At 44.2% G+C, this 12,629-nt stretch overlaps 1 protein-coding gene across 3 annotated transcripts in view; it reads right to left on the bottom strand.

Annotated features, from left to right (window-relative positions):
- DSCAM (DS cell adhesion molecule) overlaps nt 1-11,286 on the bottom strand; it is an 836,160-nt gene extending 824,874 nt beyond the window's left edge. For all 3 annotated transcript variants that reach the window (NR_073202.3, NM_001271534.3, NM_001389.5), the window contains exon 1: nt 10,747-11,286. Coding sequence is in view for 2 of the 3 variants with exons in the window: in NM_001271534.3 (NP_001258463.1) it covers nt 10,747-10,789 (43 nt within the window). In the remaining variant the exon portion in view is untranslated. The remainder of the gene's footprint in view (nt 1-10,746) is intronic.
- Between the last annotated feature and the right edge of the window lie 1,343 nt (nt 11,287-12,629).

The raw sequence follows: 12,629 nt of genomic DNA on the forward strand, positions 1-12,629 counted from the left end.
TATGCCAGCTTCTCTCTTTTTTCTGACAACTTAGGATAATGACATATACTTTGTATGGTAAATACAGTCAACTTGTGATTATTTACCTAAAAGAAAGCCAAGAACATCCAACAGAGCAAATGACCCAAAGCCCTTCAGATCTGGCTCTGGAATGAGCTTGTGCCCTGGACAAAGGAATGTGCAGCATCCCAAGGCGGCATCAAAGCAAAACCTCTAGCTGCAAACAGATCCACTCTCCTGCCCTGTCTCAGCCCGTTCTAGCTCATCTCTTAAGCTTGTTCAGTAGAGTTACCCAAATGGTTTCCCACTATGGATCTCTTGCCTGGAGCTTCATGGTTACAGGCAGGTTTCAAAGGGCTTCTCTGCTGGGACTCCAGCTGCTATCGAAGAAGGGACCAATGTGAGAAATACAATGGAATCAAGACCATAAGCAAAGCACAAGCATTTATAAACCTGAATATCAAATACGCTAACAGGAAGAAAAAATGGTGCAAAGAGATAGATATTAATACACACAGATGATTCGTAAGCTGCTAGCATCCACATTGGGAGTGCCTCTGGCAGGATCTACATACCCCTCTACTCAGAATCTTTCTTGTTACTAAACCCCAGCACCAATTATCCCGAAAGATGCCCAAATTCTTATGGTGGTCAGTGAAGACCTAACCCTGTATACAGACATTCCCAATAAATTACTACCCAATACAGAGTTCTCCAACAGTTCATCGAGATGTACTTGGAACTTTACTGGATCAACTTCCTAGCTACTGTTTGGGTAGCTTCTTTGCAAGTGTGTGTTTTGCAAAGGTGAATTATGGTTCATGTGGATCAGAACAGGCAAAGGCATGCGTTAATAATGCAAATTCACAGGTCGTGCATACACCAAGGCTACAGAATCAGACTCTCTGGTATCAGAGCTGGAAGACGACATAACAAACATGGAAACCATAACTTGGGAGACCCCAGTGGTGGTGGGAAAAACAAGACAAAGTCACATGGGATTAGAAACACCTGGGGAGCTTTCCAAACTACAGCCCATTCCCCACAACGCTGGCATCAGAATTTCCAACAGGAGGCTAATGAGAGGAAATGCATTTCAGGAAACTTCCATATCTCCTTTCTCTGTTCTCCCTGACCCAGAACACCGGGGTGTTGAGAACCAGTGTCCTCGATCCTTACCTGGGAAGGCCCACATAGAAGGATACTAACTAATGTTCAGCTTGAAGTGTCAACAGACTGTGGTCTACCTCTTATCCTGATGTAAGGGTGGAGGGGATGTGTGGCTATGGGGCTGGCACAGCCTCTTCCTCCATATTCAGTGTTCCCATGAACATTTGCCTCCGCTGCCTCCAAGCATCTAATCCCACAGAAGCCTACAGCATATTCTATATTCTTACTCTCCCATCCTCAGCAATGGGGCGGTAGAGGTATGGGGGAGAGTGTGGGGCCCCTCGTGCCTGTGATTAATAAAGGCTGATGATGTGAGATCCCCCAAGACACAAATAAACCAACCACTGATGAGAGTTCCTTGCCCAAAACAAATACCTAGATCACCTCGAGGTCCACATTTTTCTACCCAGATTTCTATACAAATATTCAATGAAGCCTATTCTAAAACAGTAGCCACCAAGGATTTAATAGCTATTGATTTGGGTGAGTCATAACAGACACATCTGGTAATTAACCATCCTACCCACATTCTGCTGTCACGTTAAGGACCCGGATAGAGGTTGCTAACTTGGGCTGCCAACTTAAACAACTTGTGAAAGGAGGATTCTGTCTGTTAGACAGCATTCCACATTTCTTGTGCATTTCCTTTTCACTAGCCAACGAAATAGACAAGTGACTAGCCTTTGCAGGAACTGACAAGAACTAGATCCGGCAGGAGTGATAAAGTAGTCATGGTTCCCGTTTTGCTGGTAGAGGCCATTGTTGTCATTGTTGGGTGTCTTCAGCTCATTCCTAAAGTCTCACAGGTAATATTCCAAAGCATTGTTATTTCTACCCTGCAAGCTACATATCAGTTATTAAAAATGCTCTACAGCCGAGATTAAAAAATAAACATGGCAATTAAGCAGACTGGGACTTGGATTTTCTGTATCTCTATGGAACCCAAGATCAAATCACACCACAGCGGGGCTAACTGTGAAAAGAATTGAATCTTGAGTTTCTCTCGTGAGAAAGTATATTTCCTTAAAGTAATAAGTTTCCTTATTATATAGGAAATATAGCTGTCTTTTGTATTTAAAAAAATAAATTAAATTAAAATATACATAGAATTGCAGCAGTTCTAATTATCTTTCTACTTGTCTTTCTCTTATGATACAATCACAGAAATGTTCCCATCATCCAGCAGTTCATGCTTATGAGAAGAATCAATGCTTTACTCAATATTAGGAAGATTAATCAATGGTAAGAGAGTCCACTGCAATCACCCACCTGAAGTGGCATGGATGGCTCTTCAGTATACGGCATGGGCTACCTCCCAACAGCCCCCCTCAGCCCCTGTGACCCATTCACGCTGGTCCTAACACCAGCTTCTACCTGATCATTGTGGTGACTCCATGATAATGCTGAAGCCACTTTGGGACCCTCAGGTCATCAAGGTCAACACTGGGAGTGGTATCACCATACTGCTGTTTTGCAGAAGCATCCAATAATGAGAAAGTTGGGATATTTAGAAAGAACTATAAGCTGGCTTTTACTGTTTTATTTTCAGTGTGAAAAAAGTGTAAATTTTATGTAAAACCAGACTTAAAACTGTTTCCTGTTTCTTCATTTTAATACTAAAAGAGTCAAGGCTTGTATGAATCAAAATCAGTAATTAAATAGTTCAAATTTCTTTCCATCACCTTATCAAAATGCCAATTTCATAGTCTGGAGAGACTAGCGACAAAATGATCCATTTTATAGATGGTTCTTTATAAGACAAAAGGCAAACACTTTCCACAGCATCATCTTCTAGGGCAGGTCTGATTTTGTCCAGATTTCCAACCTGTAAATCAGCAGTATTTGCATAAAAATTCAACGATTCTACTATTAATAAAACCCAAAGCCCACTTGGAACCAGGAAAACCAGAATGCTATAAGTAACAAATACAGGCCTAGAAAGGAAAACTATTTCATTTCTTTTTTTATGCTAAATTGTATATACTTAAGGAACCTGGGGGACATTAGCTAAGTGATATATGCCAGACACACACATACAAAATCCATGATCTCACTTATATATGGAATCTTATAAAGACTATTTCATTTATAAGAGCATGTGGCATTCTTTTTCCCTTGTCCAATAACATTTGTGTCAATCACAAAGCCTGGGGTGATATTGTCTGCCCGACACAGACTGACAAATAAGGACTTCATATATTGCAATTTAAAACCCCAGAGTTTGAGAACAGGTTAACATGGAGGGACTTGTGATAATCACAGGATCCTAAATTTGAACTCTTCTCTCAGTAATTGCTTTATTACTGAGATGTATGCAGATTTCACCCTCCTACTATTCTGCCGTGAAACATCTTTAAGAAAGGCAAGGCTTATTGCAGAATAAATATTTGTAGCAGTGCTGCAAGTTCAATGTCCTCCCTTCACCTCCAGTCTTTTGTTCAGACCTACTCAAGCTGTTTCCAGATAATATATATATTGCCTTCTCATCCCCAGCTTCCCAAGCCTAACATAGACTTAAAGACTGAGAGCACTTCTAGAATATTCTGCAGAGAGTCCAAAGAGATTTCATAATATTTCTGCAAGGGTTGGTATGCTTTTTTTTTTGTTTTTTTCTCCTACAAAATGCTGTACAGAGCTGGGACGTTAGGGGAAGCTAGCATTTAGTATGGAGGTGATCTCTTGCATTTTCAATTCTTTCTTTCACTGTCTTTGCGGCTGCACTTAAAAACAGCTTTCTATAAATAGGACTGCTTGCTCACTCTTAAATCTTACTCACTGTCTTCTCAGTAAAAAAAATAACTAGGGATACAGGCAAGATTCATTAATCCCTGTCATTCTAACTCTCTGTGTAGTAGCCTCTTTCCTTCTTCATATCTTGACATATATCTTCTCAATCCCATTCATCCCTCTCTGTTAAACCATAATATGTATTTACATAATCCAGGGGGCTTCAAGATCAAAAATTAATCCAGTTGCATGATTTTTAAAAAATCAGCGTTGATCACATAGAACAAATAGAGATGTCCAAAAATCAAAAGCTGATAAATATTGTAAGCTATAAGACACTTAATTTGATTTTTATATTTGGACAAAAATCAACTTTAACAATGATTAAGATATCCTTTCATGTTACTTTGATGAAGATAGCAACTGTCATATTTGAATCTGCAAAATAAGAAATAAAGATAATGACAAAAAACCCATAAATCCATAGGATGCTGAAGAAAACAGTAGTATGACTTTTTAAAGATGAATTAAGGCCTGAGAAAGTAAGCTTTGTTTTGATGTCCTGGGTGGCTCTTTGATGAAGAAATGAATTCCCAAGAGCTGGGGGTGGCGGAGTGGGCGGGGAACCTAAATGTCGGTTTGATGTTTCTGGCTGGCTTTCAAAATGCGACAGGGCAATAAACACTGTATAGGAATTTTAAATCATGCCATTTAGCAGCGTACACTTGAGAACAAGGGGTCCAGCACATGGATGAAATTATTGTCTGTGACACTTGACCCACTGCACGGCAGGAAGAGCACCTAAAGCAATTACATAGCTGTTGTGCAACAGTGATGAAGTCCCATCAGATACTCGAAATATGAATCTCTTTTTGAAAAGAGAAGAAAATGCCCCAAGCCACAGGCGTTTCTGGAAAATAAACATTTCTACCGTGATTGAGTCACTACGACAGAAAAAGGTGGGTAGAGCAAAAGAGTCCAGTGGTTTAGTCAGAATGCAAGATAGGGACCAGGAGAGCAAGTCCAGGAAAGCAAACTAAGAGGGGGAGCCAATCAGCTAGAGGCAGAAGAGAGAGGTGGACGGGAGGGAGGAAGGTGGACAGGAGTTAAGGAGGGGAGAAAGGCTCTGCCTATCACTTTTTCCTTTCACTCCGTAAGGAACATCATCTATTTCCACTACTCCATACCATGTGCTCTGCTCTGTGCTAAGGACACGCTCAGGCTTCGCACGCATTTCAGACTATGGAGGCTCCTGTCTAGCTAGTGAGAGAGGCAGTCACTAGCCAAATCAGCATCACCTAAATGCAGGCGTAACGATTACCACAGACTCCATCAAGGAAACAGCCAAGATTTTTAGAAAAAGGATAATATGGAGGGAACTGATTTTCAGGAGCAGATTTGTGAAACCCAACCCTTCTGAACGTCCTGGTCAGAAGCTGTCTGACCTCTGAACCAAAATCCTGTCCCTGCTTCCCTCCTGCCACCTTGACAGACCTTGCGTCACCTGCAGAAAACATCCGTGTGCTCCACCCTTTGAATTCAGAACGACATAGTGGATACTCCGTGGGGCTGCTGGAATCTTCCATTCCCACTGCCTTATCTTAACCCATAGATTCGGCAAGGGAAATGCAACTTTGAATTTTCTGGCATTTTCACAACATTGAAGAAAAGAACATAAATATAGTTGGGGGGAGGGGCGCGGAGAGATAAGATGAGCATTTTTGTGCCCAGGTCTTTGGAACTTGAAGAGTTAACCCCCCAGTCCAGGGGAACAGGTGTTTTCCAGTGGGCCTGGGGGAGAGGGAAGGGGGCTCCCGGTCCCGGAGCCTTGCCTGCGGAGATTGATGGACTGCGGAGGAGCGGGCACGTCAGCATCACCCCTGTCACCATCAGCAGGAGAAGCGGCGGCTCCTGGAATGACATTGGAAGGTCAGCCAATCAGGCGCGGAGCTGCTCCCGGAGCTGCCACCTCCGAGGCGCGCGCCACGCCGGGGTTCCCTCGCGGCTTTGGAAAGGGGGTGCAAATGCACCCTTCTGCGGGCCCGCTACCCGCTGCAACACCTGTGTTTCCTTTCTGGGCACCTTCTAGGTTTCTAGATATTGCTGTGAATACGGTCCTCCGCTGTACAGTTGAAAACAAAGGCTGCTGGACCTCGCCTGACCTGCGGTTGCCTTTGCCCGGTTCCTGTTAGACGAACTCTACGACGCCGGAGTTTGGGCGCAGTGAACTTGAGAGATCGTGGGGGAGGCGTCTTCAGAAGAAAGCCCCTGACCATCTGCATGGAGCAGTCCTCCCTCGGTGGCGGCTGGGTTTGCTGGCTCTGCTGAAGGCTGGCTGCAAGAGTCTTGTGAGGTTTGCCGCCCACTAGTGTCCTATGGCGGGGACACAATCGGCCTGCAGGTAGCACCACCTCCCTATCTCCCAGGCTGAGGGTGCGGGCACCAAGGCCCAGCGTGCACTTCAGCGCAGCAGCCAAGAAAATGCCCACACGCGCTTGTTTGTGTGGGCACACCCCTGGGTGCCTGCCCTGCTCTGGAGAGGTGGGCCACGCATGGAAACCGAGGAAATCGAAGTGCTCATTTCCGAAATACTATTGAATGCACTGCCTAATGCAAAATACATTCTTTTTCACTACCTATTAATTATTTATGAGCCACATTCATAATCTTACCCGTAGAATTCAGCTAATTTTACGAAACCTGGATGCCACATTTTGTAAATGCATCCACTTGATAAACCCATCCTTTTATTTTGCAAACATAAATTTCCAATCTACAGTGTTCACAGGTCTTTCTTTATAAAATGACCTCTCTCTCTCCCTCTCTCAATCAAGTTTTAATACGCATTGAATTGAGTCTCTTGTCGAAATACTCCGTGCACCTTACTCCAGACACATCTAACATAAAATACCTTGCCAGCTACCCGGAGGTCCAGGAATTGGGGATTAGAATTGGCAAATATTTTAGTCAAAATTAGTTCCCCTACCAGAATGCTGTATTGCGCTGGTTCTGCCCCCCGTGACTCACTGATCCCCCGAGGCAGCAAACCGTGGTCACACCAAAATGACAAAGGAGAGAGTCAAAAAGTGGAGAACGATCCACTGGCATTTATTGAAGGTCTGCGTGGCATTTTGTTTTCCTACAGAGGGCATCTTGGAGGGGCATGCAGCTTAAGTTAAAAGGCCTCGGAATTTAGGTGAACCCTGAGATTATGGATAGCTTTTTAATCTGTTTAATAAAGATGGGGGAGAAAGGGAAGTGGAGGCAGCCCTGAAATTGTTCACCTGATAACATTTCTTCCTTACATACATTTATGTGAATTAAATAAAAATCACCTTTGAAGTCCTTAAGGTGCATTTGTATTTACAAAGGTCTGCTTCTAATTAAATAAAATAGCAAGCGTGTGCTCTGTAATTTCCTATCAAGTGAATGGATGAAGCTCAAAGGTGCTGCATACTCATCTTCTCTTTAATGAGCACCTTCTTACTCCCAGCACCCCACCGTCTCTAATCTCCATGACCCTCAGGCCCCATGAAAGCGGATGCAGTAGAACTGAAAATCCCACAGCTCAGGAAAAGATGATGTCAGGAATGCATGCATGTGTGTGTGTGTGTGTGTGTGTGTGTGTGTGTGTGTGTGTAAAAACAGAGATGCCAGGATACTAGCAAAACTATATTACATATAATAAATCTAATTCTTCATCATTCTGTTTGTCTGAAGGCCTGGCTCTTCTTTTAGCAATAATTTTAAACTAGAATGTGCTCTGGGGTTAAAACCAGGAGAAATGGTAATGAAACACAATGCAGTAGGAAGCTTTGCTGAGAAGACACCGAGGGACGTGTGTGGGTGAGTGTCTGCACATACGTGTACCTTGGCTCCTTGCACTGTAACAGAAGCTCGCGTGTATTTCCAGAACATTGCAGAACAAATTGACTGCTTTAAAACACGATACTGCACCTCATCAGGTGAGGTCATTCATTTAAGGGTTTAACCTATGAAGGGCCTGGTCACTGACTTCTTCTTTTTTTTTTTTTTTTTTTCAAAAATACTGCCTGCAGCCTGTCTAGCAACCATACTTTTATTAAGAAATAACTGTACTTCTGATACATCAATAAGAAAAATATTGTTGTCTACTGTTAAAATGCAGATGTATTGTGGGCTTATTTTAATAGCCCCAAATATTAAACTACATAATCTTTTACAAATGAAAAAAAAAAGTTATCATGTCAGGCATTTTGATGCTTGAGGCCTAGCAATAATCAGTTTAGGTATTAGAATTCATCAATCTTTTATCACACACATTCAGAAATTTTTCAAAGTTGAGGTATAACAAAATATGACAGTTGTTGACAAAAATATTCTCAATTTTTTAAAGTTTAATTCAGATAGGTAGAAACCATTTACTCTTATATTTTTGAAATATGGTCTTACAAACAGGCATAGTTCCAAACTGGATTCTTATTTTATTTCAACATGTCTATATATTTTATGATCCTTTCCCCAGTATGTAATGAACACCATACCTTAGAAAACTGTTTAAAGCTGATTTCCCCTCCCCCCTTCAAAGATCCTAAAGCTTTACAGCAGGCTTTTAATGTTTTCATCCTTGATCATATAAAGAGAGGGGCATTTTTATACAAGACAGTTCCATAGCCTTCTGCTAGATTGGATCAGAATACGTAATACAGCAATGTAAAATATTCATTTGTGTTTGCTGTTTATGTCTAATATTGTGGAATCTACCTATATTTATTACAATAATGGTGATTATCAGTTGATTTTAAAAGTCTTGAAAATAATACTTGCAGAACTCACTATATGAGTACCTACATAATTTTTGCATATATTTTTCATATTGCAGAATATTTGAGGTTTCATATAATTGTATTACCATATATAATTATTTCTATGATTGTTTATTTTAGTTATAAAATGCTGATTCAGAAAAAAAGTCACACACACATATAGCATCTCTGTATCAGAGGCTAATAGTCTGTATCAGTATCATAAATTCTTCCATACCATTTTGTCATACAAAATGCTAAAACTGTAAATAAATACTGGCTGACTGACAACCAGCACAGCCTCTTTCATCATCCTGAAACACACACTTCCCAATGGGGTGCAAATTTTGTTTCTTCTTATAACCCAGGCCTTTCCAAGGAGTTCAGAAAGGTACTCCCTGACAGGCGAAACAGGGTGTCAAGGCTCTGTGTCTTTGGAACACATGTGTAGGCATCTCTACATTTCTTAGGAGGTCGCATTAGCAGAAGAGCAGAAAGGGCTGACTTCCCCGACACATCTCCGCATGTTCCCTAAGCACATCTGTCCCTGAAGGGAAATTCCCAGGAGGACACAGGACAGGTATGGTGCCCTCTGGGAAAGATGGGTGTCTTGTCAGAACTTGTTGCAATTCTTTCCTGCTAGGAAATCTCAAAATGAAAGTTTCAAACACTTTGCTTTAGGTTATACTGGAGAGCAAAGTATCATTTTCATGTTCATTTTGATAGTACCTTCTTTCAACTCTACCTTTTCTTAGTCACCGTTTTTTTAAAAAATTGACAATGCTCATGCATTTCTTCTGGCCTGTTGGTATGCTGATTCTTTAGGCACTGTCTAGGTAGGCAAAGAAAATGCACTGCCTTGCAGCCAACACACAGAGCTTCCCTGTGTGTCTTCCAGGAAAATCTTAGAGCCTCCCCTTTGCTTCTCGTATTTTCTCACAAGGGCCAGATTTCCTCTCTTCTCTTCTTTTACCTTCTCTTCTTCTCCTCTCTCTCTCTCTCTCTCTCTCTCTCTCTGTCTCTGTGTCTGTCTCGCTCTCTCTCCCTCCTCTCTTTCTCTCTCTCTCTCTCCTCTCTTCTGGCTAGGGGATTCTGCTTAATGGTTTAATTTCAACTGTCAGTAGGTTATACATTTTATGCAGATGTGTGTTCCAAAATTTGAAATGGGAATTTAAGCCGTAGCTACTCCCAGGCGATGTCAAATGATGACAATTTCCTCTGGTTCCCACAAGAGAGGAAGCCATTCATACATGTAAGTTCATATTTATGCGGTGACAGGCAGCCTAAGGTGCAGTCACACTTACTAATTGGGTCTGACTCAGTCAAGAGCAATAGCTTTCTAAATACCCAGGAAGAAATCATTTCAAAATATAATATTGGCTGGGCATGAGGAAATGTATGCTATTTACAATATTCACTGATTTCATTTTTACAACTATACAGGTGTTTTTTTTTTTTTAATTTGTCAACATTTCAGATGATGTAATGCTTATCAGTGCATATTTTTACATAAACGACTGTGAGGAGCATGAAGCAGCACGGGGTGCATAGAAGGACAGAACATTCTTAAAGCCCTCCTTGGTGCTGGAGATACATTGTACTAGCATGAAATTACGTGTTTGAAAAATCTCAAAAAGCATTGAATCTGAAGGGAGATGTTCCTCATTGACCCCTCCACTTGCGTGCACTTGGAATGTCACATCCCTTTCCAGGTTGTAATATTCAAAGTGGCAATCTTCCTGTCTCTCCTTCTGTCACCAAACCTGGTTTATTCTGAATGAGGCAGCTCTCTAGTACTGGAGTTAGGCTCTGAGCTGTCACTTGGCTAGGTAAGCGCCTTCCAATGATTACAGAGCAATTTCTCCCGGGCCTCTCCATTGCCACCTCTTCTCCCCCAAAAAATAAATATGATATTTAAAAAATAAATAAAAGCACGAAATTTTAAACACAGATGAAGCGGAAAAAGAAAGAAGACTTTACCCATGCATCCAATGCCACCCCCCACCCCCCCGCCCCCCCGGTCAATGATAAGGAAACGAAATTCATCACAAACCGAAAGGCTCACCATTCGCGAAGCTCTGGAACAAGGAGAGAGCCAGTATCCACATGCCCCTGCCGCTCCCCGGCCTCCCGCGAGCGACGCGCCGGCCTCGCCCCCCGCGCTCCGCCCGGCCCGGCTCCGCTCGCCGCTCGGCACCTGCCCGGGGGCCGCCGCCCGCCCGCCGCCCGCCGCCGCCGCCGCCGCTGCCTAGCCGCCCGGGCACGCGGCGCGGCCGGGCTCCGGAGCGAGGGCTGCGCTCGCCGCGCGCTGCGCTCCTGCACACCTGCTCCCGGGCGCCGCGCCCCACGCTGCGGCCGGAGCCCAGGTGCGCCGTCAGCTCAGTGGGCCCCCGGCAGGTCGGCAGGTGGAGAGAGCCGCAGACGCGGGCGTGAGCTCATCCCGGGCACTCGGCGCCCAGAATGCGCAGCCAGCGGCCTCCCGTGCGCCAGCCCTCACCCTCCGCATCCAGGCAGCAGGCGGGCGGGCAGGCTCATCTTTGCCGTGCTCCGGCCTCAGTCACATGGATCCCTCTGCCAACCTTCCCTGCCTGCGAGCCGGGCGAGTGAAGCCGAGCGCGGAGGCGAGCAGGGACCCCTCCCCTGCCTCTGGCCGCTGGGGCGCTCTGCAGTCTTAAAGCAGCAGCAGAGACGTGCAGCCGAACTGAGGCAGGACCGGGGAGAGCGCAGCCACCGCACAGTCACGCACAGTCATCAGGAGGAATTTCTTAGAGGCTTAAATAATCATTTCAACAGCTGCTTATTTTTAGTTATTTTCCTGCCGGTTGCTAATAAGGGATGGCCGGGGTGACTATTGCGGAAGGTGGCCAGCCACGGAGAGGTGAACATGAAATGCTCGTAGTTTTAATAAAATGTGCAGCTGGATTCCGATTCCGTATTTACTCTCAGAAAAGTCCAGTTCATTTGCTTAGAGGGAAATGCTCCTTCCAAATCCTTGCTGCTACTGTAAAGATCTCTATGATTTCACGGGCTAATTTTTAATTATCTTGAATACATGGTAGAATGCAAACACAAGCACTTCTAATTTTGCTCTCTGAATGGCGCATAAAAAAGCTGATTGAAATTGCTGATAATTTGAGTAATCCCAAACATATAGCCCCTTTCACGTTTCTGTGAAAAGTCAATATGTTAACATTTCCTGAATGTTCTGTATGATTCTTGAAGTCATGATAATATTTAAATTAAAGCTCTCACAAGGGCGTACATCTATCCATCACTTTGCAATATAATGACCGACAGGGCTGGAATGCACCCCAGTGTAGAAGCCAGGATGGAATGCTCACAGTCAGGACAATCAGGACTGAAAAAAAGCATTCGGTGGGGGTCAAGGGAGACATTTTCAAGGGAAATTGAGTAGGCTTTTTCCTAGGCACTAGGTATCCTAACTGGGCTCCATGTCCCCCTCCAAATACAGAAGAATGATGCACATCTCAGACAGCTCACAAAACACAGGAGAAGCAAATGGTGAGGCAGAAACAAAATGGTGCTTTACCAGGGTTGGGCACAAGATGGCCAGGCCCTGTGTACCAGGAAGGGTCAGCTGAGCCGGTGATGCTGCCTGGCTCACCACGGCTCTGCAGCTGCAGGTGATCACGTGCTGCCGCCCACTCAGGCTGCGCAGGCCCAGCCCCCAGTACCACGCACCAGAACCAGCATCCTCTGGCTTTGCAAATGCTGGGTGCTCAGTCCCTGGTCCTTCCCAAATGCAACCCAGGAAGGCAGGGGATGGGCCTGATTCTGTCCCTGCATCTGGCTGGTTGACCTATTCATTAATTCTTACTTGCACACTAGCCACCTGCAAGGGTGCCCAGGCACTGGGGTCAGGGAAACCCAGGGTCGAATTGCAGCTCCTCCACTACCCCGATGTGGGGCTTCTGCATGTGACTCGAG

This window comes from Homo sapiens, chromosome 21, assembly GCF_000001405.40.
Source record: "Homo sapiens chromosome 21, GRCh38.p14 Primary Assembly".
Classification (NCBI taxonomy): domain Eukaryota; kingdom Metazoa; phylum Chordata; class Mammalia; order Primates; family Hominidae; genus Homo; species Homo sapiens.